At 40.2% G+C, this 24,912-nt stretch overlaps 2 pseudogenes; one reads left to right on the top strand and one right to left on the bottom strand.

The window, feature by feature from the left end:
• Nucleotides 1-24,912, top strand: part of CSPG4BP (chondroitin sulfate proteoglycan family member 4B, pseudogene) — a 61,896-nt pseudogene that overhangs the window by 8,388 nt on the left and 28,596 nt on the right.
• On the bottom strand, nt 4,956-6,684 carry LOC100130990 (zinc finger protein 561-like; annotated as a pseudogene).

Below are 24,912 nucleotides of genomic sequence, written 5' to 3'. Positions count from 1 at the left end.
ATGAGGAAACCTTCACAGAGGAAATAATGTTTCAGCTAGACTTTGAGGAGAGAGTGAAAGAGCAGGGAGATAACAGAGGAGGAAACAGAGAAAAGCAGGGCAAGCAAAGGGAACAGCATGGCCAAGGGCATTCTAGAGGGATGGGGAGTTGTCCAGGAGGTGGAGGAGTGGCAGAGTGTACTTGGAGCTAATCTGTGGAGGAGTCCTCCCCTTTGACCACAGGAGATGTAACCTGAATTACACGTCAAGGGGGCTAGACTTAACCAGGGGATTTGGGGAGCCCTGGGGAGAATCAGAGAATGCTGAGGGTTGGAAAAGACCTTAGACATCAGTGCTTCTCAGCGGGGGTCCCAGGGAAGGTGACACTTTAGTGACCTCATGCAGGTGGGGTCCCAGGGAAGGTGATGCTTTAGTGACCTCATGCAGGTGTCTTTCAGTCATGGCTTCTCCCTCAAAGGCTGGACAAACCATCTAAGACCATTTCAAACCTGCTCTGCTGTGAGTTGAATTGAATACCTCTCTAAAAATAGTTTGTAAATTGTAGCCCTATCTTCTGAGCACTAAATTTTGGTCCGATCCTGGTCAATTCAGTGGTTAATTGTGTTGTGTAAGAGGCGTGTATTTAAGAATGACTGGTTGAAACGTATGTGTCGAGATGCAGGTGTTCCCTGTGCATCTGCTGTGACAACATGCTGTTTATGTTATCATGTAGCCTTATTCACAGAGAAGAGTCAAAGTCATGGGTCCCTGATTTCGAGGCGACCCCTTCACATTGTCTCTCCCTAGATGACTCCTGGGGTCACTAAGTTTTGAGACATGGTCATTTTCACTTACAGTGACTCTAACCTCTAAAAACTAGTGGCTGCAGCCTTTAGTGACTTGGAGAGGGAGATTCCCTGGCCATTCTTGCCCTTCATTCATTCAGCAAATAGTTTTTGAATATCTATTTTGTGTCAGGGATGCCAGTTCTAGGTACTGGGGATAAATTGGTGAACTAACCAGGTGATAATCCCAGCCCATAGGGAGCATTTTTCCTGATGAGGGAAAGAGAGAGGCAGGAAGAAACAATAAATAAAATAAATACATGAAATAAATGGCATGTTGAATGATTTGTGCTATGGAGAAAAATAAAGCAGGAAAGGGAGCTAGGAAGTGCTGGGATCTTTAATGGAGTGTGTGTGTGTATTGACGTTCAATTTCTAATAGAGTGGTGAAGGAAGGCACCGTTGAGAAAGCAGCATTTGAGCAGACCCCGGAGGAGGTGATGGATAGGTGAGCTAAGTGTATATTGGAAAAACATTCAGGCAGAAGGAAGAGCAAGAGCAACAGCTTTGTGTGGGGAGCATGCCTGGTGTGTCCGAGGAGCAGCAAGTCATCCAGTGTGGCTGGTGCTGCAGGCGTGGTGGGGAGCACAGCAGATGAGTCAGCAGATCAGGTGTGGGAGGGCCCGAGGCTTCACCTTTGACCTGGAGTAAGGAGTGAGAGGGGAGCACTGGGGGATGAGAAGGTGTGAGCAGAGGAGCGCCAAAGATGTCCCTGAACGGAGTTGGTGACAGGGGACCAAATACTTTTGAATCTGTCAAGATTTTCCATTAGTTTGTTGTATCCTTTAATTTCAGGCCAGCAGGTATTGTTCTGGTTTTAGAAGTCTAGGGATAGACAAATCCCCAACATACCCTCTCTTTGCCTTCAGATTAATATTATTAAATGGCATGTCATTTTGGGAAGTGCCACTCCATTAAAGAAATGATGTATTTTTCCGGGAGAAATACTCTGAACATGACTGGTATTTAAAGGTTACATTTCTAAAGTGCATTAAAACTTCTCCCACATTCTGCTTAGAGCCATCTTCCATGTTTGTTTTCAAATAGCTTAAGACAGCATGTTCCAGGAGCACATGCACAGGCCATGAGCTGGAATTCTTCTGCCCACAGAACTCCAAAGAAATTCTCATAGCACCTCTGTACGAGTGGACACAACTTTCTCTTGAGACCCTTCATGAACTTTTCAACTCTTGTCAGAAACACCTCTGAAAGATCAAAAGACTTTACTCAGAGGAAGTATGCCACAGGAATGCGTGAACTTGAACTGTTAAAAATTTTGGCTGTATTTTATCAAAATAAACACAATCCCAGATACTTTTTCAGAAGTTCAGCTACTCCTTTTGGGGTTTGGGAGTTCTCTGCTGTACGTTTGGGTCACAGACTCACTGCAGCTAAGTTCCCTTTTAGTTTTATAATCCTCTTGGTCTCTGATTTTGATTCTGTGCTCTTCAATATTTCCATCAGAGTTTTAAAGACATGAAAGGCATTTTGATCAAAGTTGTGGTTATGACAAATCCAAGAGGAATAACTAATTCTCTGGAGGACGATTTCAGAGCAAACATTAAAAGGATGAAATCTGACCAGCCTGGGCAACATGGTGAAACCTCCTCTCTACCAAAAATACAAAAAAATTCCCTGGGCATGGTGGTGGGTGCCTGTCTTCCCAACTACTTGGGAGGCTGAGGTGTGAGGATCGCTTGAGCCTGGGAGGTGAAGGTTGCAGTGAGCTGAGATCATGCCACTGCACTCCAGCCTGGGTGACAGAGTAAGACCCCATCTCAAAAAAAAAAAAAAAAAGGATAAAATATGACAAAAGTAAAAGTAAATGCTTGCATTTGGATTATTATAGAGAGGGAGATCTGTGTGGTTGATTTCAGTGTAATTCATCACAGTCTGTCCACAGGGGATGTATGTTAGGTAGTTACGGGTAGCATCCTTTATTAGTTGCACAAAAACCTATTGTATTCTGAAGGAGAAGGAGCAGGATTATAGAAGTATAACCTCAGTAGGAAATATAACCTCACATACAAAGAACAGTTAAAGGACCAACGCATACTTAGTTTAGAAAAGAGAAATTTGGGCAAACTTAATAGTTGCTCTCGTCCATATGTCTCTAAAGGAGAAACTCAAGCAATGGATGAATAGAAGTTTCAGAGCTGAAATCTAACAGTTTGAATTGTCAAACAAAGCGATTACCAGCCTCAAAAATTAGTCACTAACAACACACTTTCATGTTAAGGTAGCACTTTTACCTCAGATCTTCTGATGATCAGTCCAGCATTCTCTCTGCTACACCACATTGCTCAATCGCTTTGTTCCTCCTTAATCTTTTTTTTTTTTTGAGGATGCACAGGAAGCATTTAATAAATTCAAGAGGAATTCAGCCTCACAAATTATGAAATATTGGGAAATCATTCATCATGTAAAAACTGGATATAAAAAGAAATCTTTCCTCTAGGAGATAGCCTCTTCAAAAAATAAAAAAAAATAAAAACCTACAGCCAAGCCAATAAAATGGAGCACATATCTCAGCAGAACTGCAGACAATTATGCTGATATTACTACTTTTAGTTGGTGTTGTGCTGCACGTTGAAATCAGTCCAGTAAAGCAAGAAAAAGTATATATAGAGAGATAACTAATGACTGAAGTGGAAAAATAAGAGTCATTATTTACAGATTATGTGATTGCCTATGTGGAAAGGGAAAAGAATCATATTAAGTACTTTGGACTGAATGATAACCCCCAAAATTCATATGTTGAAGCTCCAAATCCCAGTGTGACTATATGTGAAAATAGGATCTTTAGGAAGTATCATGAAATTATGTTGAGAGATGGCAGGGGAGAGAGAGAGAGAGAGAGAGAGCGAGAAGAGAGGAGCGAAAGACAGAGAGAGAGACAGACTGACTGACCTATTTGTTGGTCTCCATCATGTGAAGACATGAGGAAGTGGGCATTTACATACCAGGAAGAGAGCTCTCACCAGAAGCTGACCATGCTGGCACTCTGGTCTCAGACTTCCAGCCTCCAGAAATGTGAGAATATAAATTTCTGTTTTTAACCTCCTTTATTTAAAATTAAATGAATTTGTAAGCCATTTGGTCTGTGGTATTTTGTTATGGTGGCCTGAGCTCATTAAGGCAGATTTTGGTACTGAGAAGTGAGGTATTGCAATTAAAAACAAAGAAACAAAAAAACTAAAAATGTGAAACAGCTTTGAAACTGACAAATGAGTACAGGCTGGAAAAATTCTGATGTGCAAGCTGGAAATAAGGTTGGTAAGGGTGATTCTGGTGAAGTGTCACTGGGGAATGAGGAACATGCTATTGGGAAATGAGGAAAAGACAACCCTTGATATGAAGTGGTGAAGAACTTGGCTGAACTGTATTCTAGCATTCTGTGGAAGGTAGAACTTGAGAGAGATAAAATTGGGTATGTATCACTAAGATCTGCAATTAAAGTGTTAAAGGACACAGGAAACTTCATTCTTCCTGACTGCTTACAGGAAAATGCAAAAGAGGAGACTTGAATTGCAAAAGAAATTGTTAAGGAAAAAGGAACCAGAGCTTGGAGATTTGGAAAATTCTCAGCCTATCCATACTGCAAAAATTAGAAAACTTGTGCTGAAGAGAATCCTGAAAGTGTGGCTGAACAATCATCTGATAAATAGATCATGAGTGAGATTCATGGACTATATCAGCCATCTTAACAGAAATGAGGTGAAAGACTGGATTATACTAGAAGAGACACTGCCACTTAGATTGTGCCACCTAAAATATACAAGGCAGAACAGGCAAGGCTGTCACACTTCTTAGATTTTACAAGAAGGGGACACAGAAATAATTAGCTGTGAAAGTGCACTGGCAGTTATGGATGGTTTAATTCCTGCCATGCTCTGCAGGATCCGTGGGAATAGAAGAGACCTTTGAAGGAGCATCTTTTAACAATCCACCTCTGGGACCTACATCATCTTGGCTTCTGGTAAATTTTGACATGAATGTGCCACACTGGCAGCCACTAACCAACAGGGGCTGGGACCAGTCTGCATGATTTATCTCATACAGAACTTGTTAATGCTATGATCTTAGGAATCTAATCACCAAGGTAAGGCAGCCTGAAGTATTGACCTCACCATCCATGACCCTTCTTCACAGATGCTCAGACTTAGGCATCCATGAAGAAGTTGTATTCAGAACCTGTAGTTTTAATTTTAGACCCTCAGGATGGCATCTAAGGCCAATCCACGACCATTAAACCTCCTCAAGGCATTTAGGACAAATCTGATAATCTTTGGTGTCATTGCCAATAATTAAAGATGGCAACCGATGGGCTAAATGGTAACACTCATACCCTTACATTCATAGGGTTTCTCCCCAGTGTGAATTCTTTCATGTCTACTTAGGCGTGAGGAAACAGCAAATGCTTTCCCGCATTCTTTACATACGAAAGGTTTCCCTCTGGTATGAGTTTGCAGGTGAACATTAAGGCATGAGGAATACAGAAATGCTTTCCCACATATCTTGCATACAAAGGTCTTTTCTCCACTATGAGTTTTCAAATGTTTACTATGACGGGAAGAAGTAATGAAGGTATTCCCACATTCAACACATTCATAAGGCTTCTCTCCTGTGTGAATTCTTGTATGTTGAATAAGGCTTGTGGACGTAGTGAAGGCTTTCCCACATTCCTTACACTGATAGGGTTTCTTTCCACTGCGATTTCGTATGTGTATAGAAGGGCCCGAGTACTGAATGAAGGCTTGGCCACATTCCTTACATTCACAGGGTTGTATTCCAGTGTGAGTTCTTACATGTTCAATAAGTTGAGTTGATCTAGTGAAGGCTTTCCCGCAGTATGTACACTTGCGCGGTTTTATTCCAGTGTGAATTTGAATGTGATCATTAAGGCATGAGGAATTTCTAAAGGACCTTCCACATTCTTTACGTTCAAAGGACTTCTCTCCTTTATGATTTTTCACATGTATAAAGTTGAGAAAAATTAGTGAAGGATTTCCCACCTTTCTTAGTCTTTTTAGATTTCTTTCCTGTATGAACTGTTACACACTGCTTTAGATGTGAGGAAACTGTGATGGCTCTCCCACCTTCCTGAAATTCACAGAGTTTCTCACCAGTGTGGATTCCCATGTGATTATCAAGGCTTACAAAATACTTAAAGCCTTTTCCACATTCCTTACATTTGTAGGGTTGTCTTGCATTGAGAATTTCAAGATGCACAGCAAAGCCTGGAGTTAGAGTGTAGACATTTCCACATGGGTTAAATTTGGAAAGTTCCTGTCCAATAGAAGCTTCCTTGTGCACACTGAGGATGTCTTTTCCATAACAATTACCCTCAGAAGTGTTCCCTCCATTCTGAGCTCTCATGTGTGTCTTAAGGCAAAACTGTTCACTGAAGACCTGTCCACAATTCTTACAGTCACACAGTTCCCATCCACTGTAGCCTCTTGTCATTTGTATCCCATTGAATATTTGATTCTTCAAAAAACCCTGCTGAAGTGATGACCGTTTGGTTCTAGGTTGTATTTCCCATTCTGATAACCAATTGCCAGGTAGTCTACCACCATCCTTTCTACCTTTGTCTTTTCTTCAAAAGGGCAGATTGGTTCCCTGGAAAAAAACCCACGGGACAAATCAATGGCTGCCATCCTCTGAAGCTGATGGTGCGATGTGCCTCAATGCTCCCTTCCTTGATGCCAAGATCGCCTCAGGGCAGCTTATGAATCTAGGTGGATAGAGGCAATCTCCATTCCTCTTCGTACAGGGTTATTTGCGGTCCACAGCTGGGATGGACTCCACAACCACAAAGGCGAAACTGCACTGACCAAGTGGAGCCAGCACTGGAAAAGCTGTTCCTCCTTAATTGTATTTCTAGGATGCAGTATCATTTCAGAAAAACTATACCATCCATCACAGTTTGCACTTTGATTGTCAGACTGAAACTTCACAGGATGAGGATGTGCTTTTGTGTTTTAGAGAGACTTTAAAAATTGGGATTTCTTTGATTGCCATTTGTTCATATTTTTAAGTCACACTTCAGCAAACTGGTGACTTTGTGGTTTGTTATAGGTGGAAAATGAATTGACTTACTATGCTCATGATGACAGCGAGAAGCTTCATGACAATTTCACCATCTTTGCGAATAGCTCAGAGCTTGGAAAACAGAGTCTGCCCCAAACTCTTTTTGTGACTGTTGAATCTGTAAATGATGAAGCTCCATTGGTAACAGCCAATAACATCCTTCAGGTAAGGGCTACTTCTTTTGACTTATCAGAAGATCCTGAGGGCTACCAATTTGATTTTCATTTATATTATTTCTAATGATAAATAGTAAGACCTATGACTCTGTGTATATAGTTGACAAGTTCCCACTGGTTTTAAATAAATATTACTTATTACTCAGGTGTTCTGCTGGGTACTGTTGGGAGATGAGAAGGAATCACAATGAGTTACCTTCACATTGTGTTTCATAAGTGGCACCACCATGAGGGATGGCTGTTTCAAGGCAGTTGAGGGAGGTGCATGCATGTGGGCAGCTCCTGCCAGGCTGGCAGCGTCGTAGTTAAGAGAACAGCTCTGTAGTGGATAGGTAGATCTGGGGATGAGTCCTTGCTCCCCTGTATTAGCTACATGACCTTGGGCAAGTTACTTAGCCTGCTAATTTGCTCTCATATGAGTGGGGGGAAGTGGAGGCAGAGCTGTGAGGATTAAATGATAAAATGATGTGAAGCTCTCATGCAGTGCTTGATGCATGGTTAAGGCTAAATGATAGCTCTTATTACTGAAAAAAAATACTCCAAGGCCCTATCAGTTTTTGGGTAAAATAAGGCCACTACTGAGTCATGGGACAGTATTTCTCTGGTTTTGGGAGCCTCAGTCTCCCTTTGCTCTCAGAGGATCCCCCAGGGCTAGTTCCCAAGTGCTCACAATAAGTACTTCTTGGTTGTGCAGGGTGTCTGCCATTTTACACCTCTCCTGAGCAGGAGCCCTGAGGTAATAACTGCTGCTGTGGCTTCTGTTGCCCACACAGAGAGGATGATGTGCTGGAAGCCTCCTAACATGGATGGCTCCATTTCCTGCTACACTAGCACTACCAGCATTGAAGCTGGCAAACCCTTCCATGCCAATTTACACTCAAGTATCCAAAAACCTCCATTTAATAGATTTTCATGGTTTTCACGTACCCTTTCTTGCTGTCTCTTCTTCTAAGAACCTGGGCATGAATCCATATGACTGGCTTGTAATTAATATAACAAGTGCTCAAAAAATAAGTATTTGCTGTAATTATGTGCCAGGTACTTCTCTAAGGGCTTAAACCAGCTGAGATATGTGCTACCATTTGTCTCGTTGGACAGATGAGGGAACTGCATGACTGCTGAGCAACAGGTTAAGGATGGAAGGACAGCATGGAAGCCTGATGGCTCATACATGCCTCTGTCCATGGTCTCCAGCAGTGCCTAACACAGAGTAAACAGGAAATATTTGTTGAAGGAATGAATGAATGGAGATATAAACCATCAATTCCCCCAGCATTGGCCCATGTTTTCTAGACCAGGTTTCTGTCTTAACTCTCTTACTTTAGTGTGGCTTTTTTTCTGGGAGAAGCCTTAGCCTCTCACACAAATGAGCCCCTAGTGGGCTCATTCGTCAAGTATGTCAAGACATGGGAATCTGAATGTGTTCAACTTGAAATTTGGTTGAGACGAATGTTCCCACATATATATTTCGCAATTTCAGCCTTGTTTGTACTGCTCATGAGGGTCAATAGTTAATAATAGATTATTTAGAAGGTCAGAGTTAGAGGTTGTATGGTTAGAGGTGCAGAAAAGATGGACATGAGAAAGATTCCGTGGTTCCATCTGGCAATGGTGCCTCCCCTTGGGTGGTGGAGAGCTTGAATATGTGGTGGGGCACTTTTGTTATCACATTGACTGGAAGATGCTACTGTATTTAGTGCCTGAGGGCCAAGGTTGTGTACTATTTTCAATGTGTGGGCTAATCCTACAAAATGAAGAAATGACCCTCCCAATGTGTTGATAGTGTCCTGTTGAGAAACACTCCAGACAGGGAACTTGGGAATTACAGTACACAGGCCCCATCAGGCTTGCTCCCTGCTTGTTTGCATGATCTACAAGCTGAGAATGGTTTTTATAGATGAACATTTGCAGTCAATCAATTTAATTATAGGAAACATTAACTTTGAAGCCCATGTAAGCAAAATGTTTTCCCTCAAAAAAGAATTCCATTCTTCTCAGTAGCAGGCTTCTATTACAAAAACAAATTACATCCAATTATTATTATTATTATTTTGAGATGGGGTCTTACCCTGTCAGACAGGCTGGAGTGCAGTGGCACGATCTCAGCTAACTGTAACCTCCACCTTTCAGACTTAAGTGATCCTCCCACTTCAGCCTCCTAAGTAGCTGGGACCACAGGCATACGCCACCATGCCTAGCTAATTGTTTATTATCACTTTTTATAGAGGTGGGGTCTCCCTATGTTTCCCAGGCTGGTCTCGACTCCTGAGCGCAAGTGATCCTCCTGCCCCAGCCTCCCAAAGTGCTGGAATTACAGGCATGAGCCACCACACCTGGCTCAATTATTATTATTATTTGAATTTTATCGGTAAAAATTTTGTGAAAAAAACTTTTTTCTTGTTATGTAAGTACCCATAAAATATCCTCTGTTTTGTCTCATGGCCCCCAAAACCTAAACTTATGTTCTGGTTTTTCATAGAAAGTATTTGCCAACCCACATATATACCATGGAATACTATGCAGTCATAAAAAAGAATGAGTTAATGTCCTTTGCAGGGACATGGATGAAACAGGAAGTGATTATTCTCAGAAAACTAACACAGGAACAGAAAACCAAACACTGCATGTTCTCACTGATAAGTGGGAGTTGAACAATGAGAACACATGGACACAGGGAGGGGAACATCACACACTGGGGACTGTCGGGGGGAGGGAGATCATTAGGACAATACCTAATGCATGAGGTGCTTAAAACCTAGTTGACAGGTTGATAGGTGCAGCAAACCACCATGACACATGTATACCTATGTAACAAACCTGCATGCTCTGCACATGTATCCCAGAACTTCAAGTAAAAAAAAAAAAAGAAAATATTTGCCAACCCTTGCTGTAGACCAGCACTATCCAGTGGAACTTTGTGTGGTGATAAAATGTGGTATCTGTGCTTCCAATACAGTAGCCACCAGTCACATGCAGCTAGAAAGTAGTTGAAATAAGACTAGTATGATTAAGGAATGGAATTTTAAATTTTATATAATTTAAGTAGTTTACATTAAATTTAAATAGTCCCATCTACCTAGTGGCTACTGTATTGAACAATAGTATTCTAAACAGTAAGGGATGGGGCAGATTCTGGTAGGCAGAGGCAAGAATGTGTGCAAAACTACATTTACAGGGCAGGGAGAAAATCAGCCCACTAGAGTAGAAGATCCATGTTTCACAGCATAGGCTGGAAATGAAGGCCTTGGATTCTAGGAAATGATTTGGATGATTTTGTAGCCATGGGAGAACATGCAGATATATTCTATCTGTGTGGAGTGGCTGAGGGAACATAGAGCTTCCAAAGCCACTTTAGCCTCATGATGTTTAAAAAAGAAAAGCATAATATTGTTTTCTTCGTTTGAGCAATTTTCTCCGTTTCCTTCAGACAGCCTTTCATTCTTTCAGTGCGATCCCAGATTGACTTTTAAAGTACATCTGCATTTATTCTTCCTCCCTCTGTTTCTGAAGTTCATTACTGTCATGGCTAAAGAATAAGAAATCCATGTAAGTCTCTGACTGGCCATGTGGCTGGATTTAGTTTTGGCAGTGTTGCCTGATAGCCGTGCATGTATCAGGTTGGTGCCAAAGTAATTGCGGTTTTTGTCATTGAAAATAATGGCAAAAACCACAATCACTTTGGCACCAACATAATAGATCAACTGATCTATAATGAACACATCTATGTATTGTGTATTCTATAGTATATATACTATTTTCATATGTATTTATAAATGTATAATGAGTATGCATATACTAATATAATATAATATTTTTTATGTATAATCCCTCAGTTAAAAAGAAGACCAAATGTTATCCCTAACCTTGTTTTACAGGTGAGGAAACTAGAACCCAGGGAGTACTGTGCAGCCTAAGGTGCTATAACTGGTTGGTTGTAGGGTCTCCTGACTTCTATTTTGAGAAATCTGTGACCCCGCTTTCTTTACTGTGCTTTTTTTGGGGGGCTATTGTGGAGGATGTTAAAAATGGACCATTTTAATTAACAAAACAATGGTTAGGGCTAGTATTATTCTAACCCAATAGATCTCAAAAGTTATTTTCTAAGTTGCAAGGATGATCTAGACCACCAAGCTACAGATTGGAACAGCAGATGCACCATCTCTGGGTGGTGGTGATACAGACAGGAAAACAGTCTTTGGTGAGAGTGGTGGCCAAGTAGGTGACAGGGAGAGACAGGATGACAGCAGGGAGAATAGCAAAGAAATACGAAGCAGTAAACCTTTGATCTTAATTTATAAAGCACCCTAAGGTCAATTAAATGATTGGCAGGCATAGCCAGGAGCCCCCCAGAGGCTAATGTAACTAGTGCACTTTACATGGTTAAAAATCGTAAGGGTTTTTATTTGTTCAAAACAATTGGATCTAGAAATAGGCTTTTTAGTGCTTTTAGTTATCTTAGAGCTTGATTCATTATTCAGTCTCTATATTTTAAGTGAAAAATTTATAGTGTTTATACCTTAAGAACTTGTCACGTTATCATTTGACTCCACAGTTACTTCTTAGGTAATCTGGGATGGTCTGTTCCAGCTGGTCACAATTTAGGCTGCCCCACTGTTTTCAGCCACATCTCCCTATCCCACAGATTCGTGTTGTAGTAATGCCTCCTGAACCCTCCCTGCAAAGTGATCTGGGAAATAGGTTGGCAGCTACAAAGAGGAATTTTAGGTGTCAATTGTTATTAAATACAGTTATAGAAGTTTACATTTATTGTGTGCTTACCAAGTACCGGGCCTCTTCTGTAACTGGTGTCATTTTCACAGCCCTCTAAGGAAACTTCTATGATTCATAACCTTACTTATACTACAGGAACACCGAGGCATAGAGAGGTAACAAAGGAGGCGTGGACTTGATGCCAAGTCTGTCTGAACCTGACATTTTGCCCCCACACTCTGCCACTTTTCCCTGCTCCTCCCGACTGACTCAAGCTCTTTCAATGCATCCAGGTTGTCAGAGGGTGTCTTTATTAGCAAGAAAAAGAAAAGTACCAAAGCTGCTGTGCCTCTTACTTCTACTGAAGGGGCTTTTATGGGATAGAGCTGTAGCAGTTGTTATCAGCATGTATGGATTTACCCAGGAACCTCAGTAGAGGGTTTGGGCATTTGGCTACATGGTACAGAATTGCAGGATGAGAGAAATGCACGAGAGGGAATAGGGAGGTCGAGATGTAGAAAGATACTGGAGAAGCGCTAGAGTTGACCAACGAAGGAGAAAACCAAAGGATAAATAGTAAACTCTTAGGCTCTTTAGGAATTGAAGCTCCATTTTGGGTTCGGCTTTCAGTTCCTAAGTATCAATTATAAGATGCACCATCAACTTAATATCAACTTTATGATATTAAATATACTTGTCAAATTAGGATGTTCAGAAACGTTAAAATGTGAGAGGGAAAACATGTACCCTAGACTTTGTCTCTGTCCTTCCTTAGAATTAGGGAAATACAGTCTCCATCAGACACTGCAGCGTTGCTTCAGTGGTCTGCCCAGACTGTCTCTCTCCAACCTTGATATAAGGGTGTTTTCTGTCAAGGAAAAAAGGAAGACTAATTGTGGCCGGAGGACTGTTTCCTTTATTCTTACCTTATTCCCTGGATAGTCTGGATCCAGTTCAGGAAGTGCACGACTCCCCAGTTTTGAAGGATGTGTCATTCAATACTGGCTCTTTCTGAGTTTATTTGTTTATTTATCAGATAAGAAACTTGTTCCTTGCCTTGAAGGTTTTGGATTAAAATTAGGAGAATGAAGTTTAAGGTTTGTAAACTGCTCATGTGAACTTCAGCAAAATCTCTCTGGGCATTACTCTCCTTAATAGCAAAACCCCAGGGAGGGGGCGTTGTTTTACTTGGTGATCTCTCAACCCTCCCAGTTCTAATGCCCTGTGATTCTATGGCTGTAAAGCTTGTCGATATTCTCTGGTTGAAGCTGGACTTAGACAGATGGAGAAGCAGTAGAGCTGCCATTTTACATTGGATGGACTCACTTTAGTCTAGACTAGGTGGAGGTTTTACATTTCAGATGAACCATTTCTCTTCTCTTTGAGAAACGTACAAATAGTTTTGGTTTTAAAGTCAGTGTGTCTAAAGTCTCAAGGTGACTAGGTACTATTGTGGGACATGCTAACTAGTCATGTAAAGATGTAGGAGAAGTTTTGGGAGGACTTTCTTGATTTTTTTTTAAATGAAAGAAATCCCAATAATTGGTTTCTTGAATTCTAAGTAATGGTCATGGCGTGCTGTTCAATGAAAGTCTTCCCAAAGACTTTTAGCTTATTTGCTATATAAGTTTAGCTTGTTTGCTAAATAAGTTTTAGCTTATTTGCCAAATAATTTTTTATTTGTTTAAATTATGACTATTGTGGATAATGCCTTTTGGAATTTTGTTGATTTCTAGTCATATGATACAGAATTTAGTTAGAGGGCTTCCCGTTAAGTGTGGATGTATTACCTCCTCTGGGAAGGTAGCCTGGTTAGACTATGGCTCCCCAAGCCTCTAGATGTGATGCTCTCAAAAGAGGCCTTCTCTAACCACCCCAGAAGAAATAGCACCATCCCATCCTTTATCCCCGGACTCTTATTTATTATATTTTTTAGTGCCCACCACCCTCTGATATTAAACAAATAAACAAATCTATTTTGTGTCTCCTCCCATAAATGTAAGCTCCATTTGGAAGGAGTTTTATCTGTCTTTTCCCTGTGGTGTCCTCAGTGCCTGGCATGGTATCTGGCACATTATGGAGGCTCAACAAATACTGAGTGCCTAATGCCTTCATGGAGTTTATGTTCGGTAGGGAAGACAATACAATTATTTTATAAATGGAATGAGATCTGCTCTACTCTTCAGTAAAGCAGTTGAGGAGATAGAGAATGATTGTGATTAAAGAATACCGATGCTACAGAGACGGTGGTCCGGGAAGGTCTGTTCAAGGTGGTGATATTTGCATGGAGGCTTGTGTGTGGGTGGCTCCGAAGATCTCCCCCACTGATTTGCAAGGACTCATAGGATTTAGCATACTCATGGCTAAGATTTATTACAGTAAAAAATGTGAAGCAAAATCAGCAAAGGGAACCAGCACATGGGGTGAAGTCCAGAGGAAACTGGGTCAAGCTCCAAGAGTCCTTTTCCAGGAAAGTCACCTAGGATGCACTTAATGCCTCCAGCAACGAGTTGTCATGACACATGCAAAGTGTTGATACAAGGGAAGCTCATGAGATACTGAGTGCCCAGGATTTTTACTGGGAGCCAGTCAGGTAGACACCCTCTGCTTAGTATGTACCCAAATCCCTGGCCCCCAGAAGGAAGCAGGTGTCCAGCATAAATCACATTATTTATACAAGCAATTTAGACACAGCAAGCCTCCCTTATAATTTAGGGGAAGTTTTATATTAGCATGGGAAACTGTTTAATAGCCGAGTTCCCAGATACCAGTGCAGTGCCAACCTTCTGAGCAGGGCTTTCTCAGGACAGGCAACCTTCAGCCTGTGAGGTGAACTCTTTTCTGAGTAAAGGTGGGAAGCTGGGGGAGGGTGATTAGACTGGGAAGTGAGGAGCCATAGGCATGTTAGAGGGAAGAGCACTCGAGGCAGAAGAATGATTAAGGGCAAAGACAGTGAGTCTGGAGCGTGTTTGACGACATGGAAAGCTCATGTGACTGGAGCAGATGGAGGGAGGAGGAGAGTGAATAGATATCTCTCCATGGTGAGAGTTGATTTCTGGGCATAAGGACCCCCCAGCGCCAGACAGTTTTGTTCCACAGGCCTTTCAGAGATAATGACAGGGAAGCAGGCCAGCACTTATTGACCCCCTGCTAAGACTCAGGCTCAGTTCTAAAAGTATCACATAAATGATTAAATGATTTCTCGTTTAATTCTCTCAATGACTCTTGAAATAAAATGAAGACTGCAACAGACTTGGGGCACAGAAAGGTTAAGTTACTTGACCAAAGTCATATGGTTAGAAGAGCGGGCGGGTCTTGTGGCCAGGATGTCTTTGCCCAGAGCCCCCACTTGCAACCTGTGGCGTGGGCTGTGAAATTAATTGAGTCAGAACCAATTTTTTAAAAAATTAAATAGAATGGGTAGTATCAGAATGTGTTGTGTATAATGAGGGTAAATATTGTTTTTTGTGAAAATTTTGCTTCATATATATAGAGTTTTAAACACACACACATAAGAATATATATATGCATACTAGGTTGCTTTGAAAAATGTATTCTTTAGTTTTGGTATTAATGAAAAAACATTGTAAGCTACTGACCTAGCAAAGCTAGATTCTTTTGTAGATATGAATCACACATTTTTTCATCACTCCACCTGTTTCTGGGATAATCTGGGATAATAATGTTTATGGGATTGAGTCAAGTCCCAGAAGTTCATCTACTAGAACTTCTATCCACCAGGACACTAGAAACTGGTACTATAGAGTAGTGCTAGAGTTGACACAGCCTATAACAAGCCCCAAGTCCCGCTTTATCAGGATACATTACCACACGTAAGAGGGCTCTGTGTTCTAGGTGGGGAGTCAGGTTTGTTGCCCTCAGCTTTGAAGTCTCCTTGTGACTCCTCAAGGTCCCAGCCCTGCCTGCTGGTTAACCCTGACTGCCCTTGACCCTGCGCCTCTGCCTTGTTCGTTTCAGCAGGAAAGGAGGTTGGGATGGAAGTACCAGCCACACTGTCTGCAAACCTGACTGATCCACTTTATATACTGCTGTTGTGGCCCAAAGTTATGAAGGAAGAAAAATAACACATTATGAAATTTTAAATATTCCAAGAAAAAGGGATGTAGATTAGGGTGTATAATCACAGTGTTGCTTTCCTTGTGTCTACAGTATAATGTGAATGAAATTGCTGTCAGGATTTTAGAATGATGAAGTCTTGTGCACTGAAATTTTATGATTTAATCACAATGGCTATTAACAATGTCAACATAATTTAGACTTGATGAAAAAGAGCCAAGAGGCATCCAGGAATTGGCCTTGCTGATTTTGATAGCCTGTGTAGGCAATTTATGACATTTAAGACATCCTTTTATTATTATTATTATTATTATTATTATTATACTTTAAGTTTTAGGGTACATGTGCACAATGTGCAGGTTAGTTACATATGTATACATGTGCCATGCTGGTGCGCTGCACCCACTAACTCGTCATCTAGCATTAGGTATATCTCCCAATGCTATCCCTCCCCCCTACCCCCACTCCACAACAGTCCCCAGAGTGTGATGTTCCCCTTCCTTTGTCCATGTGTTCTCACTGTTCAATTCCCACCTATGAGTGAGAATATGCGGTGTTTGGTTTTTTGTTCTTGCGATAGTTTACTGAGAATGATGATTTCCAATTTCATCCATGTCCCTACAAAGGACATGAACTCATCATTTTTTATGGCTGCATGGTATCCCATGGTGTATATGTGCCACATTTTCTTAATCCAGTCTATCATTGTTGGACATTTGGGTTGGTTCCAAGTCTTTGCTATTGTGAATAGTGCCGCAATAAACATACGTGCGCATGTGTCTTTATAGCAGCAAGATTTATAGTCCTTTGGATATATACCCAGTAATGGGATGGCTGGGTCAAATGGTATTTCTAGTTCTAGATCCTTGAGGAATGCTCACCATCACTGGCCATCAGAGAAATGCAAATCAAAACCACAATGAGATACCATCTCACACCAGTTAGAATGGCGATCATTAAAAAGTCAGGAAACAACAGGTGCTGGAGAGGATGTGGAGAAATAGGAACACTTTTACACTGTTGGTGGGACTGTAAACTAGTTCAACCATTGTGGAAGTCAGTGTGGCGATTCCTTAAAACATCCTTTTAATATCTGCCCCTCATTTTTTATTGGAGTGTGGTATCTCTTTTATCCACTAGAATGTGTAATAACAATGGCAAATGAGCATAGAAACTTTCTGGAAAGACTGTGTGTATTGATCAATTGCAGAGTGTTCTCATAAATTGATAACCTTTAACATTATTAAATAATTTTCACACATCAGGTGTGTTTACTTTTTTGTGAAAGCTAATAGATATAGCATATGCATTTTATCAACATAGTAGAGCCACGAGAATGCAGTTTTCAATAACATAGTTTCTCCAAAGCTATGGTTACCAGTTACTTCTTTCCAGGCAAAGTTTTAAACTTAGGAGATTATTTCAGATGATGATGTTTCTTATTTCTATATTTCAGAGCATATCAAACAGTAATAATAACAACCATTTACATGGTCCATTACATGGTCCTAATGATAGTTATTACTTACATAGTACTTACAGTGCCTGGCATTGTTCTATGCGCTTTACATTTACCCAGTGAATCTTCAACAACTCTCTGGGATATGATTTTTATTTTAAAGATGAGAAATCTGCAATGCAGAGAGGCTTTGACACTTCTCCAAGGTCCAAAGCAGAAGGGCTGCTGGTGGACAGCAAGTGGCAGAGCTAGAATGCGAGTTTGAGTTTGGCACCACAGTGTTCTCTCACTTCTTCCTTCATAGTTAGCGAAGAAGCTCAAGGACCTGGTGAAGCAGATAAAGAGAGTATTGCTCTTATTCCAATTTTAAGAAGGTGGAATTAAAGATCAAGAGGTTAAGCGATTTGCCCAAAATAACAAAGTTAGTGGCAGAGTCTGGGGCAAAGGCAGTTATGCAAATGCAAATGTGATAAAGTCTTCAGATTCAGTGCTGTTTCTGACTTTTCAAACAGCATGTTCTCAAGACATTCGGATTATCCTGCATGATGACTCACTCTCCCTACTTGTCATCTGGGCCTGGAGGAGGTGGCAAGAAAGTCTGTCTGCAGCCTAAGTGGGAGAAGAAGGTGGGAGCGTGGGGGATAGAGTTGCTGATAACATCTCAGACTCTGGAGGGAGTTCATAGCCAGCAATCAGAATGTTAACCTCTGTGTCCCACCATTTAAAACACACTTCTTTCTCCTGACAAATTAAAACATTTCCTTAAGCCACAGTTCTTTCAGCTGATCTCCAAGGTCATTCAATGGTACAAGAGATCATTTGTGTCCCAACAAACTGGAATTGGGAATTGGAGTTAGGCCATCTTGGGTGAATCCTTTGCATTTTACTTTGAAATATATTCTACTGAGTATTTTTGTATTCAAATATGATCAGTGAATTTTGTGCATATCTGATAAAACATATTTTTGTCCACAAGGGGGCTTCATTTTCCTATTTTTCAAGTTCCTCTTTCAGTAATACTATACATTTTGTTTTGTTGTTTTTATACTGAAAATAGAACCATTTGCTTGCTTTTGAGAAATACTTGTCATCACTAAAAGGAGCTTTGAGAGCTGGTCACAGTAGAAGAATTAAGGCAGCAAAGTTTGAAATGCCAATTGAAGCTCTCGGGGGACCAACAGTGGGAGAGTGAATTCATGAGCATTTCACATCCCTCGTATGAAACGCAACAAAGGTCTAGGCTTTGTTGTTTTTGTTTGTTTGTTTGTTTGTTTGTTTTTGAGACGAAGTCTTGCTCTGTCACCCAGGCTGAAGTGCAGTGGCACGATCTCGGCTCACTGCAACCTCTGCCTCCAAAGGTCTGGGCTTTTAAATATTAAGTTTACAACTAGGATTAAATGGGATCACAATTAGGTTTCTAAATACCACTAAACTCTTCTTAAAGCTAAAGGTCAATTTAAAAATTATTATTCCAGGTTTGTGTTATTTTCTGATATTTATGCTTTGAACTATTCTTTTTTGGGCTTTGGATCACTTTAAAATCTGAATTCAAATTGGGGGTCTTTGTTTTCCTTCTCCTCATCTGCCTGAAGTTTCCATTACCAAGCACTGGGCACTAAATCAGGCCTTACCTGAAGCAATGGGGTCGTTAATTGAACTAAATTTGGTTTGAGTGGAAATGAGACCTGAGGCTACTAGATCTTGTTTTGAGTGGCAGGTTTTCCATTTGTTTTGGAAGATGGTATATTTCAGAGGCGAGAGGGAGGGAAAGCAGTGTTCCATAGCAGAGTAGCTGCAGTGGAAAACATGCTTTGTCCAGCCTTGGTGTGTATGGCCTTGGAAAAAATGATTGTTTCTACAAGTCACGAGAAGAGAAATGGCAGCACATTTCCAAGTCAGCTGGAGCTCTAGAAGAAATGAGGATGAGATATGTGGATGGATTAAAAAATGTAAAAAGTGAAAAACCAGAATGAGTGGGCTTGGAATTTTGTTAAACAGTCCAACTTGCGCATTTTATTATAGCCTTTCTGTGGGTTTAAATGAAGGCCAAAACCTTATTATTTGAACGTTGTATTGATTCGCATTTCTGGTAGCTATTTAAAAGCTGATGTCCTTAGAGCTTAGTGCTGCAAAATCTTCAGTAGGCATATTCAAATGGCAAGATATAGGCATGTCCATCAACAACACAATTATTAAACAGATAAACTATTCACCCCAAGTTATGAAAGAATGCTGGAAGATTAAACAAAATCTGCAGTACATGTTATAGAATAGCCTCAATAATGGCAATAATCACACTCTAAGTGACTTTTTGGAAATACTAAAAAGTCACATCTGTCCTCAAAGCCAAATCTGATGAAGAAGATGGGTCATATAAAGCTAATATTTATTGAATGCTTACTATGTGCCTGATGAAACAGTTCTAAACACTTTTCATATATTAAGTCACTCAGTCTGTGCAACAGCTCTATCATTTCTAGTTTACTGATGAGGAAATTAAGGCAGAGAGAGGTTAAGAAATGTGCCCAAGGTTATATAGCTAGTAAGCAACAAAGCAGTGACCCAAACCCAGGTGGTTTAACTGGACAGAAACTAAATCAAGCATTCTTGAACAACCTGAAAATATTTAAAAGAATTTCAAGTAGTGCTATTGTTATTGGCACATGTTATTTTTCAACATAACTACTTTGAGGAGTTAAACATTGGTTTGGCAGTGTAAGTTCGTGTGTGTGTGCATGCGCATGTGTATATATGTGGAGTATGTGGGTATTTATTTATGTATAATTACTTTATGGTCTCATCTGTTAACTTTTAAGAAATTAAAGGATAATTCACAAAGTAGTTTTTTTTCCTGTGTTATCAGTAGTTGGTGTATTAGAAGGAAGCAGAATGGATTATCTTCCAGCCCCATTATGCCTGACATGAAAACATAGGAATCTTATATACTTTCTGAGTTTCCTGTCTCAAGTTCTGTTTAGTTATTAGATGATGCCATCCATCATCTAATTGGAGTAAGTTATTTCACAAACTGCTCTTTCTACTGAGGGAAATGGTTCTCTTTAACTGGAGAGATCATCTATTAAGTCATTTAGGACTGAATTTTTAAACAAGTTATGAAAAAGCGTAGAAGATGATAAAGTTCTTATGCATGGGTATGTGCACATGGTGTTTCTGTGGGTAAGAAAAATACATATAAATACAAATACAGATATAAATGTGAAATTTGAGTTAGTGACAAAACTACTTGTCTTTAGTGTTAGTGAAGTATCCTGTGGCTGCATGATTAGAGAAACTCAAAACAGCCAAATTCCATCAAATGTGATTCAGTGTCCATATAAACATTTTAAACCCATGTTCAAAACTGAACTCCTGATCTTACTCCCCAAATCTACTCTACATTCAGCTTTCCTTATCTCAACTGATGGTAACCCTGTCCTCGTTTCTGAGGCCCAAACCATAGAGTCATTCTCACCGCCTTTCCTTCTTTCACACCTCGCCAAATTGAAATAGCCAGAAGCTCGGCTGGTTTTGTCTTCAACAGACACCCAGAATTTGGCCACTTCCCACCACCTCTGCAACTTCTGGGGCCACTCTCTTCTGTCATCCTTCTCTGGAATTATTGTAGTCACCTCCTAACTGGTCTCTCTGCCTCTACCTTGTACCTCCCAGAGTCTATTCCTGATACAGAAGCCAAAGGATTCTGTGAAAACATGAGTCTGACCAGGTCACTCCTCACCTAAAACTCTGCAATGATCCATCATTGCACTCAAGGAAGAACCAGAGTTTTTACAGTAGCGTTCAAGACCCCGAACAATATGACAACCTTCATTATGTTTCAACTCATCTCCTTTTACTCTTCATCTTGCTTATTCTGCTCCTTCCAACTGACCGATTTCCTAGTCTCCCAACAGATGAGGCCTGCCTTTGGGCTGTTTCCTCTGCCTGTATGGTCCTCCCCTAGATATTTACATATTCACTGGCTCCCTCTTCACCTCCTTCCAGTCTTTCCTCAAACTGAACCTCATACTTAACATTTGCTCACTCCTGAGGCCCCCCTTATCTTGCTTTATTTTTTCTTTTTTTTCATAGTGCTGTGACTTTTTTTTGACACATTGTTTAATTCATTTCTTTATTATGCCATTGTTTCTTCTCTGTGTCCCTTTGTCCCTTCCTGCTGGAATGGAGGCTCCTGAGAACAGGACTCTTTTTTTGGTTACGGATGTATAGCAAACACCCAGAACATTGTCTGGAAGATAGTAAATGCTCAATAAATGCTTGATGAATCGTTAAATTAAGATGTTTAGGCAATGTAAATAGATTTTAAATGTAATTGGAAAATAGGAACTAGTACTCAGATACAATTGTAGATGTGTGCTATCAGCACAGCAAACATTGCAAGGCCATAAGAACAAGATATTTGTGTTCTTGCAAGACAGGTAGGACAAATAGGATAGAAAAATATGCAGTGTGTGTGTGTTTTTTTTCCCTCAACCATTTAAAAGCTAGTGAAATAATTTGCGTCTTACAGCAATGAATGGAAATCCTTAAATCAATCCTATGAGATAGGTTCTGAATTATCTGAGACCCCATGTAGAGTATCCAGCATGTGCCATGCACACAAAAGGTGCTTAGTCATCATCAATTTTTGGTGTTTTTCTACATTATACAAATGTACATGCACTTCACATAATGAAATTGGATTAATTATGAATCCTATTTCTTTATTGAAACCTCATAAACCTCATAAATTAACTAAACACTACTTCAGGCTTTGTATTTCACCTGACATTTAATTATACATCTGTTTCAAATGAAGAAACTTCATGCTTTAAAAACTCTGGTGAATTGCTTTGGATTTTAAATCTTTGTCCAAGGAGACAGGACGTCATTGCTATCCAGTTTACTAATGTGATGTGATTGACATTGGTCCTCAAAAGATCTGTGATTCTCTTCTTTTTAAGGTGTTGATGAATTCTTTCACTGAGATGACCAGTGGTGACCTCTGTGCAGAAGATGGGGACTCCTCTCCACAGGACCTGGCCTACTGGGTCACTACACCCAGCAATGGGCATTTGGCTCTTAAGTCCTTTCCCAGCCAAAGCATTCAGAACTTCTCCCAGGCACAAATCAATGAGGGCCAGCTAGTTTTTGTACATGCTGCTATGTTATAGAGAAAAACAATGTGAAACTAAAATGCACTTTAATCAGTGGTTAATGTGATGGTCATATGACTGAAAACTACAGGCCATGTAGAAACTTTCCAGGCACTGGACTCTTTAAAAAAGTGACATGTTTTAGTAAGGCTAATGATAGCAAATATTAGCATTCCTATAACTCTCATTTTACTTACTCAAATTGTCAAATTTAAGTAAGTAATGTGCTCAAATATAAGCTTCTCTGAGAGCCTTTTCCTGAACACCACTAAAATAGCATCCCTTCTCTGCCACTTTCCATCCCTTTCCCAGAATACCTGACCTTATAGTATAGATTGAATTGGATATTTGTTTGTTGTCTGTCTTTCCCTATAGATTATAAGGGCAGAATCTTTGTTTTGTTCATTGTTGTATCCTTAGCACCTAGCAGTGCTTAATAAAACATAGTAGGTGCTTAATAAAAATTTGTTGAAAGAATGAAATAATATTGAACACCTATTATGTATCCAGTTATATGTTCCAGATGTTAGGAATACATTAGTAAACAAAACAAAGAGATATTTGTTCAATGAATGAATGTGTGAATGAATGAATTAATTAATATAACTTTAATTTTAAGAGATCCTGACTTTGAAAGGCCTTGTCTTCTTCCTCCTGTTCATCAATAAATCAATAGGCCAAATGACTGCTGTAAATCTGCTGAAGGTGACCCAGCCACTCTGCAAGGGTTTGTTCTCCCCTGTCAGAGGAGAAGCAGGCCATTCCAGTCTGCAGCAGGAATGGGAGGGAGCATGAGCTAGGAGGGCTGGATGAGAAAGTTAAAAAAGCTCTGTTTTCAGTTATTTCAAATTATCTTCTTTGAAAATACAGCAAAGAAAATAAAGGTAAAATATCCTCTAAATCCAAATGAAGTAATTTCCTGACTACCTTCACAGTTAATGCAAAGGATCCCCAAAGAATCGGAAAATAATTTACTATGCGAATGCTCTCACCTAGTAGTTCCAAACCTGTAGCCTGGATTCGTGGAGGTTAGCTTCATTGCCACAAGGTCCTAAATCTACCTACATATGTACCAAAGCATAGTTTCTAGACTGAATGGTATTTTCCACATACATGTTTCTGTTTTTCAAATGTGTGAAGATGTGCTGATTAAATACAATACAGTTCATCTGAAGAGGCACTGAATTGATAGGAAGTTTCTGCCAATTATGTATTGTTAGTATTATATAAGTATTGTTAGGTGAGGGCCTAGAAAGTTTTTCATTTTTATGAAAGGATTATCATATTTTCAAAATGGAGATGACTGCTCTAGAGACTTGCACAAAAGAAGTTTTGGTTTTCTAAAACTGTGAAATCCACAATAGAAAGGAATCATTGACTCACTACCACCTGTCAGGCACCACAGGAGATGCAGTTCTGCCATCCATGTCTTTTCATCATCTGAAGTCCTCTGGGCCATAGGAAGGAATGACTCCATTTTCGAGATAAACTGAGGCAGGCGGATCATGAGGTCAGGAGATCGAGACCATCCTGGCCAACATGGTAAAACCCCATCTGTACTAAAATACAAAAAAAAAAAAAAAAAAAAATTAGCCAGGCGTGGTGGCGGTCGCCTATAGTCCCAGCTACTCAGGAGGCTGAGGCAGGGGAATCGCTTGAACCCGGGAGGCAAAGGTTGCAGTGAGCCGAGATTGCGCCACTGCACTCTAGCCTAGTGAGAGAGCAAGACTCTGTCTCAAAAAAAAAAAAAAAAAAAAAAGAAAAGCTGAGGCTCAGAAAGATTAAGTTTGTCAGACCTTAAAGCTGGGCTTTCTCCACTAGCTGCCACCCATTGAAGGGCAAAGTAGGTAGAAGAACTGAAGTTACTATTTTCAATGAAGGGTTGAAACAAAAATTAGCTTGCTGGATTGATTTATTTGTCCACTACCAGGTCAATATTTGCTTTTGGTGAGTAGAGAAAATAATTTCTCCTAGAAAAGTAGCAAAGAGAGTTAAAGGCAAGCTAAACGTGAGAGCCAATCCATTACATTTTCTAAATGGATATGGAGGCAACTAATAACCCTCAAAGTGGCTGCAGCCCAGCTGCAGATGAGGCTGTTGCTGAAACCAGCTGGTTCTCCCCTGGTGCATCTGTCCATCATCAGCCACAAACAAAGACTTGGGCTTAAGTAGTCTCTCTTAGCCTTTCATATTTGCAAAGTGCTCCACCATTAATTGAATTCATTATTCCACATAACAACCTAAGTAGGTTGATAAAACCAAGATGTGGGAGGCTAAGTGATTTACATAAGGTCACCCTTCTGGAAGGTCTATCAGGAAAAATCTGAGATTGTACAGTAGAAAATGCACAGGTCAACCCTGCTGTTTGTGTTTCCCTCTTTATCTTTATTTGGTCATAGTCTGTTAGAGCACACCCAGTA

This window comes from Homo sapiens, chromosome 5, assembly GCF_000001405.40.
Source record: "Homo sapiens chromosome 5, GRCh38.p14 Primary Assembly".
Classification (NCBI taxonomy): domain Eukaryota; kingdom Metazoa; phylum Chordata; class Mammalia; order Primates; family Hominidae; genus Homo; species Homo sapiens.
This window is presented reverse-complemented; position numbering and strand designations above follow the sequence as displayed.